This window comes from Homo sapiens, chromosome 6 (assembly GCF_000001405.40).
Source record: "Homo sapiens chromosome 6, GRCh38.p14 Primary Assembly".
In the NCBI taxonomy this organism is placed as follows: domain Eukaryota; kingdom Metazoa; phylum Chordata; class Mammalia; order Primates; family Hominidae; genus Homo; species Homo sapiens.
The window spans coordinates 134,454,264-134,474,731 of NC_000006.12; the positions used below are offsets into that span (position 1 = coordinate 134,454,264).

Sequence of the window (20,468 nt, forward strand, 5' to 3'; positions counted from 1 at the left end):
CAGAAAACAAAGCACTCCTATCAAACTGGTTGGTTAATGATACCCAGCACAGCAAACACCCAGCGGATTGGCAGAACGTGAGCCAGGTTGGCTTCTAACAGACCCAGCTTAAGACGCCCAGAATCACCAAGTGAATCAGACACATTTCATAACTAAAGACACCTGAAGACCTAATTATGCAAATTTTACCTGTTTGTTAGCTTGGGATCTGGCCGTCCTGCAGTCTTTCCATGTGTTGATGGTTGTGTGTGAAGATTATTTGTGCATCATTTAGTCTGCATTTATTCATCTTGTGAGCTGAGGATTCTGCTAAGCACCCTACAAGGAGAAAAGGAATATTGTCTGTTTAAAACGTGTTTTGTGTGGCTTCTTGGATAGTGTCCCTGGATGTGGGTACCTGAGAACAATCCATCCTTACTGTTCCATTTCCTAATGGAAAATGCACTACTTCCATCCATGTGAAATATAAATTTAGTCTGGGATGCTTTATCATGTAAGACAAGGCAGGCTATGCATTCCAAGAGATATTTTGTCTAGAGATGATAAGGAGCATTGCACGGTCTTTGGCTTTATTATTTTCAACAACCCCCTAACTGGATAAGGCAAGGTTTTAGGTCAACAAGTCTTGGGAAGTCTGCAGAGGAACTAGCATTTATAATCTGAGTTGCTCCAGCTGCCAGAAGTAGTGTCAATAATTGACTGTTTCGTGGCTGAAGGACTATAGTAGTTATAATTGTCTGACATAAGAAATATTCAGTGACATAAGGCATTTTGTATAATGAAAAGAATTAACATTCCTACTGGATTGTTGTCTTTCAGGAATGCATTCAAGACATTTCTATATTAGGTAAGAAATTTGATTAAGAGCCTCTCTCTCTCATATGAATGGTCTTTTGTTTTTTGTTTTCTTTTTTTCTTCTTCTTCTTTTCTTTTTTGAGACATTGCTCTGTCACTTAGGCTGGAATGCAGTAGCGTGATCTCGGCTCACTGCAACCTCTGCCTCCCGGGTTCAAGTGATTCTTGTGCCTCAGCCTCCCGAGTAGCTGGGATTACAGGTGCACACCACGAAGTCCAGTTAGTTTTTGTATTTTTAGTAGATACTGGGTTTTGCCATGTTGGCCAGGCTGGTCTCAAACTCCTGACCCCAAGTGATCCACCCACCTTGGCCTCTCAAAGTGTTGGGATTACAGACATCAACCACCACACCTGGCCATGAATCATCTTAAAGGAGGAGTTAAAGGGGGTGCACGAGGAACAAGAATCACAACTCCAAGGGAGTTTCGGGGTAGGACATGGGAGAGAGGCTTCAGGTGTGTCAGGAATATATAATCTGTAAAACCACAGCATCTTCCTTCTTACAAACAATGCTTTCAGTTTTTGCACTGCATTTAGTGTCTTTCACTGCAGAACTTTTCCCCAAACCCAGCAATTTACAAATTACCCATTTGTGGAATTTGTTGAAATCTTAGTATGTAGTTGAACCTTAGCAAACTGGAATCCAATTAGCTAGAATCATTGTAAAAATTCTATTTTTTAAGAAAATATGAGAAAATTACCTAAAACAAACACATATTACTGACTTAGTATACAAAAAAGAACTTTTTTTTGAGGATATAGTGCACTTCTAATAGAAATTCAGCTTAATCTATTTTTAGATTATGGTCATTGATAGCTATAACGATTCCATAAGAAATTCTTTCATCAAAAGAAAATGTCTTTGCTATTCTACTAAGAAAATGAGTACTAATAGATTTCAGATATATTCTTAGTAATAAAGATGAAAACAAAAGAGCTTTCTATTTACCACTGATATAGCCACCAAGTATAATTAGCCAGTGTACTCTAGTTACCTATGGTATATGAAAAATTCAACCTATCGATCAGTAATCATACCATGAATACCAAGTACTGTTGGCAAAATTAATATTATATAGATCAGAAAATATAGCCCTAACATTCCCAGATACTAGTGTTAAGTAATCATTAGTGTTTTAAAGCTTTACATTGCACTACATATGTATAAGGAGGTGTGAGCCAAATGTCTCTGGGAATGTCACAATCATATTTCCAGAGTCAAACTTATTTGAATATGGAGGCAGTGAGGAGTCATGTGTAATACTTGGGCTCCTACATCTGGGTTCAGAGTCTCTGGGCTCCTCTGCTTTCATGGCTCCCCAGATACATGCCCTCGGGCAAATCATTTCCCTCTGTTCTCTGCAAAATGGGCAGGGCAAGCATCAAGGTTGCAGAGGTGTGAAGATTTAGGGAGATAACGTGAATGAGATGCTTTTCACAAAGCCTGGCACTGAGGAAGCACCAAATTAAGCCTTAGCTATGATTATTAAATTTCCATTTGATTATTCATGCTGTGAATGTATAGATCTGTGTATTTTTTAATTTAAAGGGAAACTGACCATTTGTAGTAAATGTCTGCAAAGTAACATGTAGTTTAGCAATAAATACTTAAGAATCAGACTAACAAAAAATATTTGGTATTAACACAAAGTTTTACATAGCTATTTATTTACTTATATATTTATGAGGCAGGATCTTGCTCTGTCACTCTGGCTGGAGTAGCAAGTGCCACTACATATGGCTAATTTTAAATTTTAAAATTAATTAAATTTAAAGCAAGTGCCACTACATGTGGCTAATTTTTCATCTTTTTTTTTTTTTTTTTTTTTTTTTTTTTTAGAGACAGGGTCTCACTATGTTGCCCAGGCTAGCCTTGAACTCATGGTCTCAAGTAATCCTTCTGTCTTGGGCTTCCAAAGTCCTGGGATTATAGACATGAGCTACCAAACCTGGCCAGCTTTATAATTTTTAAAATGAAGTATATAAAGACCTAAATGAATTTTTTCAAAAGGCTCAACAATCTTTCAAACATACAGAGTTGATTAAAAACACTCATTATAAATAAGAATAAAAAGTTACCTATCTATACGCAAGGTAGAAAACTGAAACCATACGAACAGATAGTAACTGAGCAGTAAAGGTCTTCCTTGACCTTTATAAAACTTCCCCTTTCTCCCACAAGTATTTGTATATCTTTCTAGAATTTTTTAATGTATCTACAAGCATAAAAATCTGTGTGTATTTATTCACAAATGGAATCACTATATCCACTATTTTTCATCTGGATATTTTTAACTTGAAAGTATATCTTAAAGATACTCCCATACCTTTAAAAGATGCATGGTATTCTATCATATAGATATTTCATAATTCATGAAACTTGATAAAAATTCCTAAATGATGATGTTAGAGTTCCAGGTTTTTTCTTCTCACAACGAAAACTGGAAAATGTAGCTTTGTACCTATATGTGTGTTTTTGTAGGTAAATAAGGATGAATTCCCAGCAGTGAAGATTTAGCAGAACACGTTAATGACACTTTAAAAACAAAGTTAAAATACACATTTAATGAGATTACTCAGGGCAGATTGTTAAGTTTGTGGATCACCCAGGTCCTCTCCTTTCCTCCTTACTAGACATTATATCTCGCTAGAGATTAACTTGGGGCATATAGTTTTGAAGCCAAGAGCTTAGGACATTGGACCCCCACCATTTACTAGCAAGACAAAGTAGTTACATTCTCTGAGCCTAGTCCTGCCTGTTGGGGTTATTGTGAGAATCAAATGAGATGTTGAAAATCAGCATTGAACACAGCATTATTTAGCACTGGTGTTTTAGTCCATTCTGCTATAACAAAAAACCCAAACTGGGCGGCTTGTAGACAATAGAGATTTATTTCTCACAGTTCTGGAGACTGAGAAGTCCAAGATCAAGGTGATGGCAGATTCAGTGTCTGATGAGGGCTCACTTCCTCACAGACAGCACTTTCTTACCGGCAGGAGGTGCCAGGGGTTTCTCTAGGCCTTTTTTGCAAGAGCACTAGTCCCATTCCTGTGGGCTCTGCCCTCACGTCCTAATCACCTCCCAAACGCCCTGTTGCCTAATCACCTTGGGGATTACGATTTCAATATATAAATTTTGGAGGGACAAAAACCTTCAGTTCATTGCAACTGCTAACCCCTCAATAAATGTAGCAACAAATAGTTAATAATTCCTTATTAATATTTTCTAATTAATCTAGTGATGATTATTCTTAAGGAACACTAGACCAGGATTTTCCAAATTTCCAATTTTTTTCATATCGACCTAAGCAGTGTTAGTTATCCATTTATCATTTACTTGCTGTATATTCCCTCCTATGCTTAAAGACTATCATTAATTTTTTTCTTGAATTTATCTACAGATTTCAAGTATCTTCACATTTTCTCCCAGAACTATTTCTCAAACAGGGAAGTCAGTTTTATTACCCTGCTTCAGGCCTTTACGCAGTCTGGCGAAAGACTGCGCACCTAGTCTACAAGAAACCTGGTCAGTCTAGAGATGGATATAGAGGGGAAAAAAATCAAATTCTTTTTTTAAAAAACATTGAATTGTTCACTGAGTAGTAACAGGCAAAAACCGTGATTGCAAGAATATCTGTGAAGGTTACCATGTTTGCAAAGCCATTTTGAATAACTGTTTGGGGCTCTGCTCTCAAACCCTGGCAGTGGAAAGCAGAGGCCTGGTGAGCCAGGCTCCTCTGCAGCCCCACACCAGGCTCTGCCCATCAGGTACTCCATATCAGAAGAGGGAACTGAAAAGTAGAAACCATACAGAGTCCTTTATTTATATTTTTTACTTGGGAGGTGACAGTGACAACTGGAGCTTCTGGCAGCAGGGGCGGTGGTTCTGGTGTTTGTTTTCCAGTGTCAGCCTAGACTTTGGCTGCCTCTGCCCAGTGGCCGTGCAGTGTCAGGGGAAGCGGCCATGGAGACTTCTGGGCTGTGCTCCTGGGTGCATGGCCTCCAAGGCTGGCTCTCTGGCTTTCTTGCAACAGTTCTGAATGCTGCTCCATTCCTTTGCTGCTTAAAAACGTTGAATGAGTTTGGCTCTTTATAACTGTGTGCCCCAAACCCCAATTTCCTCAACCCCCACACTCCTCCCATTTCCTCATTTCAGTGCATGGTAACTATGTCCTAAGCCAGTTGCTTGGATCCATCCGTGACTTCCCTCTTTCTCTCCATTTCTCTCAATAGCAGCATTAATTATTTTTAGAGACAGGGTCTTGCTCTGTTGCCCAGGCTGTAGTGCAATGCCGAGATCATGGCTCATTGCAGCCTTGACCTCCTGGGCTCAGGGATCCTTCCCATCTCAGCTTCCCAAGTAAATACAGGCACATGTCACCACACCCGGCTCATTTTTAAAACTTTTTAATAGAGATGGGGTCTCACTATGTTGCCCAGGCTAGTCTTGAACTCTTGGCCTCAATTAATTCTCCTGCCTCAGCCTCCCAATATGTTGGAATTACAGGTATAAGCCACTGTGCCCAGCCTTGTCTTTCTCCAGAGGCTGTCACCCCCATAGCCTATTGTTACCCAGGTACTAGAGTGATCTTTCAAAAAGTAAATCAGATTATGCTGCTCCTTTTCTTAGAACCCTCCTCACTCTGATTAAAGAATTCCACTGTGGCCTCCAAGACCCTAAAAGGGCTGCTCCCTTGTTATTTGTCTCTAATTTATCAAGCACCCGCTTCCTTCTGCACTCACTGCTCTCCACACACACTGGCCCCAGGTTTACAACCTTCTCCCAGGCAGCTCCCACACACTGCCCCTTTGCTAGTCTCAGAACACCCCCAGCATGCCACCATCTCAGGGCCTTCTTGTTGGATCTCCTGTGCCCGGAGCTTCCTCCCTCCAAGACACACACTCTCCACCATTTCTGCAGTACCTAACTGCCTTATTTCTTCAAATGCCTTTCCCTAAATCTCCCCAGGTCACCACACGCAGCTCTCTTACTCTGCTCTGTTTTTTTCCACGTCATTTCTTTTTTTAAATTTTCTTTTTTTTTTTCAATCTCCAATGTGACAGTATCCATAGCATTTCTTATCCTTCAAAATATATATCAATTTGCTTATTTCCCAATTGTCTGTCTCTCTCCCTGTTAGAATATAAGCTTCATGAAGGCAGGGACTATCTGATTCCTGCTATACCCTTAGGGTCTAGAATGTTGCCTAGTTCATAGTAACTACTCAAAAAATATTTGTTGCATAATTAAATGAATGAATAAATGAATATGGATGCATACAGCATTCTCTATTGTCTGAGAGTTTATAAGGAGGTCATTACCAGTCACTCAAAGAAATATTGTAGAGGCAGCAACCTTAATGGAAATCAGTCAGAAGCCTTGAAGGAAATGACTGATTTTATCAATGTTCTTCATTTTAATAAAAAAGAAAAGTTTAAGATTTACTAAGGTCTGACTGAAGGCTTTCTTAAGCTTAGTCAGAGATGTCCATGGTACAATTTAAGGGGCACATTATGGAATCACCTGCCCAAACCAACTATTTTCTGTGGTCCATCATAATGTCTAAACTTCTCAGTATTTATTATTTTATTTATTTTACAAATATGCCAGGCCCTATTCTAAGAAGTTGGGATATAGCAATCAACAAGTCAACATCCTGTCCTCATGGAACTTACGTTCTAGTTGGGAACAGACAATAAAGGAAGAAACACATGTATAGCAAGCACCAGGTGGTAAGAAAAGCCAGGAGAAAACTGACAACAGGCAAGGGAGAGGTGGAGGTAGAGATGGGTCTGTGTGGCTTTTAAGACCACAGCTAGGGAAGCCAGTGTTAAGGAGGTCCAGATGAGGCATGGGAGGAAGCTATGCAGACAGCGTTCAAGTTGCTTTGAAGTCATCTCCAGGTAGGGGAGTGATGGTGACCTCTGGCTGTCTAGGAGATGCAGCCTAGGCATCCGCCATACTCTTGGAGTTTGTGTGTTTTTGTTTGTTTTTGAGACAAGATCTCACTCTGTCACTCAGGCTGGAGTGCAATGGTGCAAACACGGCTTACTGCAGCCTCAACTTCCCAGGCTCAAGAGATCTTCCTACCTCAGCCCCCCAAGTAGCTGGGACTATAGGCCATCACCACCACGCCCAGCTAATTTTTGTATTTTTTGTAGAGATGGGGTTTTGCCACGTTGCCCAGGCTGGTCTCGAACTCCTGGGCTCAAGCGATCTGCCTGTCTCGGCCTCCCAAAGTGCTGGGATTACAGACGTGAGACACCACATCTGGCCCGAGTTTGTGTTTTTAGCCTAATTTCTGTGTACGATGTTTTATTCGATGTAAAAATGTAGCCTAAATTCTGTGTACAATGTTTATGATATTATAGTGCGCTTTTTAGGTTTAAAATAATGTGCTATAGCCATATATAGGCTATGCGAATTTGAGGTTGCTTCTACATGTATCTCAAAATCATGAGGTTGCTTGCTGCCATGCCATTCATTGGTCAGGTGCCAATCACTAATGGTAAGGAGCTGGGGATTGCACCACAGTCAATAGTCAGAGGCTACACAGCTTTTTGTTGTTGTTGTTGTTAAAATAAAAATGAAAACGAAAGACAAGGTGAGTGAGTATATAGCTAGAATTTTTATTTCTCTCTACCTCCAATTTGTCAAGACTTTGGGTTGTAGCATTCCAGTTTATTGGAAACAACCTTGGTTTCAATTATGTTTACCCAAAGCCAAATTCAAGTCAGTTTTCAGGATGTTTGATTTTTCTCCTGTTGATTGGGTTAATTTTATGTTTTCTGCATAGTTGTTTTGTGAAAAAAAAATTGTGTAGGAGCTATAACTATCATATAACTATCAAATGTCTTCGTTGTAATGTTTTTCATCCACTAACTGTGTGACTTGAAACAAGCCCTATGACCATTCTGTTTCACTTACACAACCTGTGAAATGAGGATAATATCTGACATGTATCCTCTTTCAGAAATTCTCTGAAAGCATACTTTATGCTGATAGAGGAAAAATGACACATTGCATTTAAAGCCTTATTAATCCTCTCATCTGAGGATAATTTTCATGTCTCTATATGCCTCAGTAGGTAGCCTAAGATTATGGGAAAAAAGGAAATGTTGAACTATTTTGTGTACAATTTCTAGGAAGGAAGTGCATTTTTTAAAAAATATTTATTCATTTATTTATTTATTTATTTATTTATTTATTTATTTTTAGACAGTTCTTACTCTGTCACCCAGCCTGGAGTCTAGTGGTGGGATCTCGGCTCACTGCAACCTCTGCCTCCCGGGTTCAAGCAGTTCTCCTGCCTCGGCCTCCCGAGTAGCTGGGAATACAGGCGGTGCGCCACTATGCCTGGCTAAGTTTTGTATTTTTAGCAGAGATGGGGTTTTGCCACATTGGCCAGGCTGGTCTCAAACTCCTCAACTCAAGTGATCCACCCGCTTCAGCCTAGGAAGTGCATTCTTCTCTTGACTTTTCTCTTTATGTGCTGAATACAGTAGACCATTTCACTGGGGCCACCTGGTACCACGAGGTGACCTATGGACAAAGACAGTGGCCTGACTGAAGGTTTCTCAGGACCAGATGGGTAGGAATCTGCCCACTTTCCCTGGACTGCTTTCTTCAGGTCATCTTTCATGTGAGAGAAAAGTAGATTTCTTTTTTTTTTTTTTTTTTTTTTTTTTGAGACAGAGTCTTGCTCTGTTGCCCAGGCTGGAGGGCAGTGGCATGATCTCAGCTCACTGCAACTCCCACCTCCCAGGGTTCAAATTACTCTCCTGCTTCAGCCTCCTGAGTAGCTGGGATTACAGGCGTGTCCCACCATGCCCAGCAACATTTTTGTGTTTTTAGAAGAGATGGGGTTTCACCATGTTGGCCGGGCTGGTCTCGAATTTCTGGCTTCAAGTGCCCACCTCAGCCTCTCAAAGTGCTGGGATTATAGGCGTGAGCCACTGTGCCCAGCTTGAGAGAGAAGTAGATTTCTTTTTTGTGTAAGCTGCAGTCATTTTGGATTTTCTACCATGGGCAGCCAAACCTAACCTTCACTAATGCACACCTGTGATTTGAAAGTGTTTGGGTGCTCTTAGAAGCCACCATTTATGTCTTCTCGTTTTACTTCTTCAATAATCCTATAAAGTGCAAGGAATAAGAATTGTCATTCCTGCCGGGCGCGGTGGCTCACGCCTGTAATCCCAGCACTTTGGGAGGCCGAGGCGGGCGGATCACGAGGTTAGGAGTTTGAGACCAGCCTGGCCAGCATGGTGAAACCCCATTTCTACTAAAAATACAAAAAATTAGCCGGGCATGGTGGCGCATGCCTGTAGTCCCAGCTACTCGGGAGGCTGAGGCAGGAGTATTGCTTGAACCCAGGAGGCAGAGGTTGCAGTGAGCCAAGATCGCGCCATTGTACTCCAGCCTGGGTGACAGAGAGAGATTCCGTCTGACAAAAAAAAAAAAAAAAAAAAAAAAAGAATTGTCATTCCCATTCTCCAGTCAAAGAAACTGACCTTGTAAGATGTCGAGTGACTTGCATGTGGTCAATTAGCAAGTAGAGAAGCTGGAACAAATAGAGGCGTATTATCTCTTTAAAACAAATCACACATATGCTTACACTCAAACATGGTGCACAGGCTTTGGAGTAAGATAGACCTGACTTCACATTTTTGTGTCTCATTCCTGTAGCTTTAAGCAAATTACCTACTTTTTCTGATCTTCATTTCCTTATCTGCAAGATGGTAAACAACATCTCTAGCGATTAAGAATTCCAAATGAGATAATGTTGGTGGTCCTGCTCCAGGGTGTGGTATATAGTAGATACTTAGTAAATAGAGCTCTATTGTCAGCAGAGGCTTATCCTTCTAAAGATTATTTATACTGTGACACAAAAAGGGTAAAAAAAAAAAAAAGGAAGAAAAAAAAAAACATTATTCAAATATGGAAGTAAAATGGAGTGTAAACGAGAGCCTAGAAAGGATGTTTCAGCTTGAAGTTCTGCGTCCATAAGGAATTTGAAATATTTTGATAACTTTCTGGTTTTAAAGACCAGATTAGGCTGGGCATGGTAGCTCACACCTTTAATCCCAGCACTGTATGAGGCTGAGCAAGGCAGGTTGATTGCTTGAGTCCAGGAGTTTGAGACCATGCTGGACAGCATGGCAAAACCCCATCTCTACCCAAAGACAAAATCAAAAATTAGCCAGGTGTGGGGACGTGTACCTGTAGTTGCAGCTACTTGGGAGGCTGTGGTGGGAGGATCCCTTGAACCCAGGAGGCCACGGCAGCAGTGAGCTGTGATGACTCCACTGCACTCCAGCCTGGGTGACAGAGTCATACCCCGTGTCCAAAACAAAAGAAGAGTGAGAATAAGAATAATAAGAAGAAAAAGACCAAATTAGTGGGCCTGGATGAACATGTTTTTCGAACCCCTGGAACATCCTAAACGTATTTCTTTCTATCTGTATTTGCCATTAAATGTCACAGAAAAATAATCTTTGCTTTTAAGCCCCTCATGAAGCTCAAGAAGACGAGAAAGTAGCCATTCCAAAGAAATTTTATTTCATTTATTTTATTCTATTTATTTATTTATTTTTCACATGGAGTCTCCCTCTGTTACCCAGGCTGGAGTGCAGTGGTGCACACGCCTCACACTGTGACACAGCGGGAGAGCCCAGAGCGACAGCTGTTGGAATGACTGCACTCTTCCTGCTCAAGTCTGACCTTTCCAAGGTAGGATTTGATTACAACTAGCAATATGGAATTACAAGCAGGGAGAGGTGCCGAGACCACAAGACATCAGGAGACTAAAATAGCAAGGTGGTGAGGCAATCTGCCTTTTATTCCCCTTTCAAGCTATGAGAAGTAGGCAAATGATGCGGCTGAACAATGCCTCCTTGACTTCAGGATATAAAAACTACTTTCATGAGCTTCAAGTCAGGGTAAGTGGGGAAAATGACAATAAAAGTAAATTTAAAAAACCACATTTAAACCCAGTCAACTTAGGATATTTTGTAGTACAAGCGCCAATCTATATGGTTCCTCTGAGATGCCCACATCGCAGGAAGCCTCAAATTTAACTACCAGAAATATTCTGAGAAAATAAAATAAGAAATTCTAAGCTTATAAACGCTTTTGTATGTGCTATTTTAGGTAGTTTTCAGTATGAGTCATTTATCTCCTCCCACAACCGAACTTCAATCATGTTTCAGCTTATTCTAATTAGTTTCTCATTATCTTTTAAATTATTATTTATTTCTGCATGTATTCCTTCCTCAATTTTTAAAAATGTATTATTAAATTTATTGTTGGTAACTCTTTTTCTCAGAAACTCTAAGTTTCAAGAATTTCTCTTATTGTTATTATTATGTTTTGAGACAGAGTCTTGCTCTGTCACCCATGCTGCAGTGCAGTGGTGCAATCTTGGCTCACTGCAACCTCCATGTCCCCAGTTCAAGCGATTCTCGTGCCTCAGCCTCCCGAATAGCTGAGATTACAGGCGTGTGCCAACACACCCAGCTAATTTTTCTATTTTTAGTAGAGACACGGTTTTGAACTCCCGGCCTCAAGTAATCCGCCCACCTTGGCCTCCCAAAGTGCTGGGATTACAGGCATGAGCCACTGTGCCTGGCCAAGAGTTTCCTATATGATGCAGTCATGCTCTGAAAAGGATAAGCAATAATCTAATATGCAATATACAATGCAATAATAATATATGCTTGTATATGTATAATATTTTATAACTACAAAGACTTTCACATATATTATCTCATTTAATCCTGAACACACAATAGCATCCAACCCTCCTCCTTTTCCTCCTGAGCACAGTGTTAAATGTTCCCTATGCAATGTCTCTAGAGATGAAAGAGTCAGGAGAGAAAGACATTAAGGAATATATTTGGATATATTAGGGGACCATGAAAGGTAGTTGAACCAACACTGCATAACCTAGGCATGAGCAGTCCCAGGAGGAGTGGCTTCTCTGCTGTTTATTTCTACTATCTGGTATTGGGCAAGTTAGAACCTCTTCAGACCTCTGTTTGCTCATAGGCAAAATTAACACATACCTGCCCTGACTCCCCGACAGAGCTACCATGAGAATCAAATTAGGTAACATGTGAGAAAATATTTTATAGTTTGCCAGATGCCAAATAAATATTTTTATGAACTTTCTTTCTGTACTTCACTCTTGTGGCATCAACATTTGTGGCATTAACCTAAACAGAAGCCTCAGTCAATTAAAGAATAGAAAAGATAAACATTTTTAGAACTGTAAAGCGTGTTCTAAGAGTTTCTTGGCCATTTGACTTTTCTTATAATCAAAACATAAAGCCATTCACCTGGCAGCTGGGTACCTGAATTATAATTTAGTAACAGTTGCGCTCAAGAGGAAACCAAGATCCTATAGGACCTTTCACAAATCAGGGTTCTTATTTTTTATTATTCTCAAAGTGAAGTCTGCAGACCACCTGCATCCAAATCCCATGGCATAATTATAAACATTTCTGATTGCTGCACCCTGCTTTTACCTACTGAATCAGAAGCTCCCAGAATATGGGCCCAGAAACAAACCTTTTTTTAGAAAACACACTAGCTGATACTTATGCTCACTAGTCCAAGAAACCCAGAACTTACTGGTTGAAATTTGCAAGTTGTAAGAGAACATTTGTTCTTCATTTCTTTCCAGCAGTAACAAGATTTCTCTATCAACATTCTATTAAAAACAGATATGAGCACGTATGTGAAATAAAAGCAGCACTCCACTTGTGTGCAAAATTTGACATCATTTTTTTGAAAGTGCCTTGAAGTAATGTTATCTCAGCTTTCTTTAATTGGATGGTGCATTTATAGGAGGAGTTTGGAAAACATATTCTCTTGCAGTGTTATTCCTGACCTCTACTCAAAAAACTAACAATCTCACAAGCAGTTAAATTGATAACCAACCAGTCATTCTCCAATTAGGAGCCTCAACTCACTTCAAGTAATAACATTAAAATTCTCCAAGTGTTAGCAGTCTGCACTGTACCTTGAAATAAAAAGATAGAGATTTTGCCTTTGGTGTTCAATAAATATAGAATAATATAATATAATTTCAGAAGCTATAAGCTTATTATCAATCAGCTTCATAGAAACACAGGACTAAAATGGATTACTCATTACTAAGTCAACAGACAACTATGTGCCTGGCACTGATCTAGGGTTAGGGCCAGAGGAGTAAATAAAGCAAACAAAGCTTCCCCGGCACTTACATTCTGGTTGGGGAGGAAGAGTGTGCAGGAAATAAAGAACAGGCTAACATTTAATATTTCTAACATATCAAATGGCATGTTAGAAGATGATAAGAATAATGGAAAACAGTTTACTGCAACAGAGTTTTCAGAAGGGATTAGATTGCAATTCTAAATATGAATAACACAGCAAAAAGCAAAAAAAAAAAAAAAAGGATTTTTTTTGGCTGGTACACATGGGTATTAGTTTGTACTCTTGAAAGCTAATGGAATATCCATAGACCCTACTATACTAAATTTTAAACTCTAGGCACTGCAAAACGAGAATACTATCCACTTCTTCACACACATTTGTAGCCACCTTTACATTAGAGGCACCATCTGTAGTTATGACTGGTCTCTTTTTTCCCTGAGGTATGATCCTGTCTTCTTATCATTCCTGATATCTTCTTTCACAATTGTGCCCTAGGTAATGGTGCTCAGAAAAAGAAGCCAATCAGGAGATCTGTTTTCTGTGCCCTTTTAACACTTCTAACTCAGGCACCCAAACCAGCCTGTAGCAGAAAGAGCATCAAAGCCATCCTCTGGACTCTACACAAGGTCTGTGGATATTCAGTTAGCTTGCAAGAGTGCAAACTAATACCCATGAGTACCAGCCAAAAAATACCCTTTTTTTTTCTTTTTGCTGTGTTATTCACATTTAGAATTGTAATATGACCCTGTCAGAAAACTCTGTTGCAGGAAATTTTTGGAAAAGAACATGTAGCTTATCTGTGTCTATGAAGTCCTTGTTATTGTGGGGAAAAGAAAAGAAAACAAAAACATCGACAGCTATATATTTTCTTTTTATTACTTACTATCATTCCAGACTAAAGTGGGGAGCCCCCTTTTTTTTTTCCAGAAACATAGCAGCAGCAGAGATGTCGCTATTGTGATCAGAATTACTTTGGTAGGTGTGTTTTGGGTTTGATTTACTTTTTCACATTTGTCTTTCTGTTTATATAAAATATTTTCCTAGGGAAAAATACATGCTAAAGTTAAACTTCACATGAGTTAACTACCTACAAATTACAGCTGTTAGCCATTTTTAATAAAACACTATCCACTGCACTATAAAAACGGACTTCATTTTCATATTGTTAATGTTATTCCACTGAACAGTGCGGTTAGAAATCCCAGAAGCAAATGCAGTACAAATTGTAGAGCAGCTGTGTAGAGGTGACTTCTAATCATAATTGAACACAAACGAGAACAAATAAATCAAGGACGAAACTTCTCAACTTCTGATGCCTGGCAATGTCAGTTTTAAAGCCAGATACATACCAAGTGCCTTGCAAAAAAAAAAAATTACACAGCAGCTAGAAGAGTGACAGCAGAACCCCCACTCTTTCTGGGAACACTCCCATATACCAGAAGCACAAGGACTTTAATTTGAAACCTGATTACATATTTGAAATTGCTGGTGTTCCTGACTTTAGCTTCTTGGCAGAAATGCCAGCTGAGTGTGCACATAGCACAGGTGGTCGATGGCAAACAAGACACCTCACAGCTGCAGGCAAGGAGCTGCTTCTAAGGGCATACAGTCTGGACAGTGCCAAGGCAGATAGGCATCATACAAAGAGAGAGGACAGGCTGCAATTTGGGGGTTTTGTCATTATTGTGTGTGTTTTAAAATATATCAGTGCATTTTTGAAAGTTGATTGGGGTCAGATTTTCAGCTGAGGCCTTATTCTTAGGAAATAGCATGATGGCAATAAATGTCAGCCTTAGCTAGCGACCCTTAAAAAGCTAAACTGGAATAAAAATAATAACTTGGCAAAGGTTCCCATATGCCGCACTCCTTCTTTTGTGCTCTTCCTTTGTCCCGAGCCTGCTTTGCCACACATGCCACCTTCAAGCACTGTTTTTAGGGAGAAGAGACCATTCTCCCAGAAAAGGGAACAGCTGAGAAAAGAACCAGCCCACAGAGGGAGCAGGGACACTCCTAACTGTTTTAAAGCCGTGCCGCAGGGTCTATGAGTTCGCAACAAGAAAACGTTTTCTTGTTTCTACCTTACCTAAGTCCAAAAAAAAAAAAATCACTGTTTTTTTATTAGCCGTTTAGTCCTAAAGAGTGCCCTTAGTGATAAGACAGTGCTTCTGGAAGTTCCACATAACTGCTTTTCTTTACCCACATGCAGAAGGCCCAAGAGTTGCAGAATCAGAACAGTTTGTGTGCTTTTCCATGTTCTAGCTTATGTATATGACAATACTAATCTTCCATTAAACAGGGTGTCTTACCCAGTCTGCAGTGCTAAGCATGTGTCGGACTGGAAGATATTGTTCATAATAATCTTTTTCTAAGTACCATTTAAAAGAAAATGACTTCCATTATTTAAAAAAAAAAAACCAACTAGGAAATATCGTATTTCTTCACAATGAACCATAGCCCTTTTTCAGATGTCCTTTGGCATCTCAGTTTTAGGAGTTATACAAGTCTCTAGCCTCACTGTTCATTGCCCTGACTTGTGCCTGAGATGTTTTTAGTCCTTCAGCCAGTTCAAATCAGGAATGAGATGCATTTGATCTGGACTTCTTCTACTCTGCCAAGCAGATAATCCCCTAACGACTGGTCAGCATTTTCATCCCAGAGAGTCAAAACTGACCTTTCAGTAGCAGAGGTTGCTTTAGGTTTGTGCAAAATAACGTTAAGGACAAATTCCCACTTTTGGGGCGCCACCGCCGTCCCTTTCATTGCCTGCAGTTTCTAGCATTTATTTTCCAATGTGGACACTGCAAAACTGTGATTCTTCAAAGTGGTTATTTAGTTCCTAAAACATTTAGAGTTGGGGCAAAATTTGCATAATTCTATTAAAAGGCTTACACCTCAGCTTTGAAAAATATTTGAGAAAATGTGATTTATGGGGGAAGGAAGTCTTATCTTTTGGCCCAGAAGGTGTTTCATGGAACTAAACCTGTTAATGTTAGGATTGCCTGTTAAGCACCAAAAAGTAAAAAAATGGAGGTTAGAAGCCTTTCTTTTATCTTCGCTTCAAGTCTGCAGTAGTTTGAAGCTTAAGATAGAGAAGGATTTTAGGGCGTTTTTTTTTTTCTCACTGCATTGCAAACTTGGAAACTGGAGTCCTGGTACAGTGATGGGAAACACAGGTGCATTTCTGTAGATTTTAAAATAGGATGTACTGGCTCTTTTCAATTGAGGACAGTTCATTTTGATGCCGTTACAGAACTTGAGACGATCTGCTTTAGATCAAATTTGAGATTCTGTCATCATGTCTATTTTTGTTGTATGATGCTGCCTGTCACTCATAGGTTGACAACAAGTCTGACATTTTCCTTCTTTCTTTCTTGCTTGCTTTCTTGCTTTCTTTCTCTCCTTCCTTCCTTCTTCTCTCTCTCTCTTCCTCCCTCTTTCTCTTCTCTTTCCCATTCTTTCTCTCTCCCTTTCTTTCTCCCTGTCTTTCTTTCTTTCTCTCTCTCTCTCTTCCCTCCCTTCCTTCCCTCCCTTCCCCTCCCCTCTCCTTCCTTCATTCCTTCCTTCCTTCTTTTTCTTTCTTTCTTTCACAGGGTCTCACTCTGTCACCCAGGTTGGAGTAAAGTGGTATGATCATGGCTCACTGCAGCCTCGAACTCCTGGGCTCAAGCAATCCTCCTGCCTCAGCCTCCTGAGTAGCTGGGACTACAGGTGCACGCCACCATGCACTGCTAATTTTAAAAATGTTTTAGAGACAGAGCCTCACTATGTTACCCAGGCTGGTCTCAAACTCCAGGCCTCAAGTAAGGCTCCCACCTTGGCCTCCCAAAGTGCTGGGATTACAAGCAAAAACCACTGAGACTGGCCTTGGCATACATTTTCTGTACTCTACTCAATACATTTTCTATACTCAATACATTTTCTATGCTCTACTCAATATATTTTCTATACTCAATATGTTTCTAGACTCTACTCAATACATTTTCTATACTCTACTCAATACATTTTCTGTACTCTACTCCATACATTTTCTATACTCTCAATACATTTTCTGTACTCAATACATTTTCTATACTCTACTCAATACATTTTCTATACTCTATACTCATTACATTTTCTATACTCTACTAAATACATTTTCTATACTCTAATTAATACATTTCTATACTCTCAATATATTTTCTATACTCAGTACATTTTCTATACTCTGAATACATTTTCTATACTCAATACATTTTCTATACTTAATACATTTACTATACTCTCCATACATTTTCTATACTCAGTACAGTTTCTAGACTACTCTTTTTCCATACTCATGTGTGAGGAATGAAACACCTTAAACAATGCACATGTTACAAAACTGATTGCCATTCAAATGCCTCCTGCAGGAAGCATAGGTCTCCCCTAAACCACCTGCTGCTCCAAGAGCTGAGGACTGCATATCCAGATGATGGCATGCTGTCAGGAAAGCGTATGAAGACCACTACTTCTACCCTGCTAGAGTGCACACAGCCACCATTCCAGAGCTGCCCAGAACCTTAAGCCCACCCACCTCTATTAGGACCTTTGTCTAGTCCAAAACTTTCTGAAATCTCATCCAGGACCTGCCCTGACATGGATCTTCATTTTCATTCCCTATTCACCTGAATTGTTGCCAGGACCAGAATAAGACTTTTAGAGTCCCTGAGCTCCTCCATACATAAATACAAATACCATTTTATTTTTTGAACTAACATAAAGTTCATAAGTATGCTGGTAGCAGAATGGCTTTTCTTTCTAGATGATTTATTGGTTATAAAAGTCTGGGTGAATTTATTGAAGTGAAAATTTTCTGATGTGTATTTATTTATTTATCTGTGCCTCCAGGATAATCCGGCAGTGACTGTAGATAGCGTCTAGTGGCCATTTCCCCCCAACAATCTTTCTGCCCCCTGGCATAGCAAGGTGACTCATACTAGCTCTTCAATATTGAAGACTTTACTGGGCCCTAGCTGTATTTCATATTTAATTTAAAGCCTTCTCCTGATGGTCTTGTAATTCTTCTTATCCAACTGGTCTTATATTGCAGTTTCTTTTTCTGACAAATAACCTTCCTTGCCATGTTTTTCACCCGTCTTGCCACCTGATTCAAATACATTAAGTCAACCTTTATTTAGAGAAATAAGATTTAGGAAAACTTTTCAAAAAGTTTTTTAAAACATTTTTAAAAAGTAAAATGTTCATCTGGGAATTGCTCTGGGAAAATATATATGCCTGGCTAGCCATACATAAATGTGTATCTAGTGCAGTGATACACATGTGTATTACAAGTAAAATCCATATGTTGAAGATTATTTGGACAGAAGTAGACTTGATTAACTAGAGTTGCCTTTTTAGGATTGATGCCCGAGAATTGTATTCTTATTATGTAATACATAGGCAAAGTTATGTTACTGTACCTAGATGCAGGGCAAAAATTTATGATGTTCTGCCAAAATTGCCACCTGAGGACACAGAGAACAAAGAAACAAAAAGTCCTAATCAGATTAGAGCTTAATGAACCAGTCTCAAGCCTGTTGGGAACTCACCAAATACCAAGTCATTCCAAAGAATAAACAGTGGAACAAAAACTTGGAGAACAAAAAGTTTTCTTAATTATTTGCATTCTTTTGGCAGCTGTAATTACAGGATGTTTTCCACTGTCTGTTACCACTTGCCCCTGTGCTGTTATGTTTTTAAGATGTGGTTTGTTCTCTTTTGCCATATAATTATGATGATCACTAAAATGAGCAAAATTTTCTTCTGAAATATATAAAGGGTAATAGATATATGTTTCAACTTAACTAGAACTTGTAGATGAGTGGCAGTTGGAGGTTAGTTTCTGTGTAATTTAGTACAACCATTGATTTAAAGCACACCAAACACACAAGATATCACAGTACACATTATATAGTTAGAATTTAAAAATCAGTAATTTTTGTAGTTAACATAGTGATATATTTGCCCTTTATTCCAAGATACGAATTTTTAAGATAACATTTCTTTCCTGATGACTACAAAACAATACATGTTTATTTTAGGAGAGTGGGAAAAGCCTGCAACCTACAGATATCAACCGTTAATTAGGTACATGAACCCTACTTCTAGTCTTTTTTCTACACATTTTATTTTAATAAATTAGATATTATAATTGTTTTTTAATTTTAAAAACACATAAATATATTGTATTTTTTTGCATTGTACTTACAAATACATACATTGTATTTATTTGTATTTATTTGTAAGTAATATTGTATTTACTTTACAATTTATGAGTAATTTACAAGTTAATTTACAAGTAAGTAACATTGTATTTATTTGTAAGTAATATATTGTACTTACAAATACAATATATTACTTACAAATATATTGTAAATAATTTTTCTTCCCAGTTACTATTCTTCTATGTCATATTTTTATTTATTACTTATTATTTATTTATTTTGGAGACAGGGTCACACTCTATTGCCTAGGCTGGAGTGAAATGTTGAGATCATGGCTTACTGCCCCCAACCTCCCAGGCTCAAAAGATCCTGCCACCTCAGCCACCTAAGTAGCTAAGACTAAAAGCGTGCATCACCATGCCCAGCTAACTTTTTAAATTTTTTATAGAGATGGAGTTTCACTATGTTGCCAGGGCCGTTCTTGAACTCTTGGGCTAAAGAAATACTCCCTACCAAACAGGCATTGTTGACTCCTCTGGAGAGTGCTCATTCTGTGGGTATTAAGCAGGAAGGCAGGCCGGACGTGGTGGCTCAAGCCTGTAATCCCAGCACTCTAGGAGGCCGAGGTGGGTGGATCACCTAAGGCAAGGAGTTCGAGACCAGCCTGGCCAACATGGTGACACCCCGTCTCTACTAAAAATACAAAAATTAACTGGGTGTGGTGGCACGCACCTATAATCCCAGCTACTTGGGAGCCTGAGGTAGGAGAATCGCTTGAACTGGGGAGGTGGAGGCTGCAGTGAGCTGAGATGGTGCCACTGCACTCCAGCCTAGGCAATGGAGTGAGACTCCATCTCAAAAAAAAAACAAAGAAAAGAAAAGAAATCCTCCTGCCTCAGCTTCTCCAAGTGTTGGGATTATAGGCATGAGCTACTGCATCCAGCATGCTTCATATTTTTGAATGGCTGCACAGTATTTTGACATGTATATACGAAAATTCAAAAATGATTTTTAGACCTGATGGAGTTCCAGTGGTATGTCTAGCTTCAGTTCATAGCTTCTGGTGGCAGGCTGATTGGGGCTGCAGTCTCTTAATTAGCCAGAGCTATTACTTTTACTGATTTGAATATCTTCAGATGGCCAAGCCCTTTTCTATTTGCTCTGTTCTTAAGTGCAAAGCCCCACATTACCCATTGTTTTAGAACTGCTTACTCCATGCATTTTACCCTCA

General features: G+C 39.3%; 2 long non-coding RNA genes across 5 annotated transcripts in view; one reads left to right on the plus strand and one right to left on the minus strand.

The window, feature by feature from the left end:
* CT69 (cancer/testis associated transcript 69) overlaps positions 1 to 20,468 on the minus strand; it is a 49,868-nt gene that overhangs the window by 25,234 nt on the left and 4,166 nt on the right. Inside the window, exon 3 of the long non-coding RNA NR_125852.1 lies at positions 190 to 318. This is a non-coding gene — a long non-coding RNA (cancer/testis associated transcript 69). The remainder of the gene's footprint in view (positions 1 to 189; positions 319 to 20,468) is intronic.
* The window catches only part of LINC01010 (long intergenic non-protein coding RNA 1010), a 66,305-nt gene that overhangs the window by 16,548 nt on the left and 29,289 nt on the right, over positions 1 to 20,468 (plus strand). For 2 of the 4 annotated variants that reach the window (NR_038217.1, NR_038218.1), the window contains exon 2: positions 10,478 to 10,586. This is a non-coding gene — a long non-coding RNA (long intergenic non-protein coding RNA 1010). Of the gene's footprint in view, positions 1 to 10,477; positions 10,796 to 16,645; positions 16,764 to 20,468 lie in introns of all 4 variants that reach the window. The other 2 variants (NR_038219.1, NR_038216.1) reach the window with 2 other exon arrangements.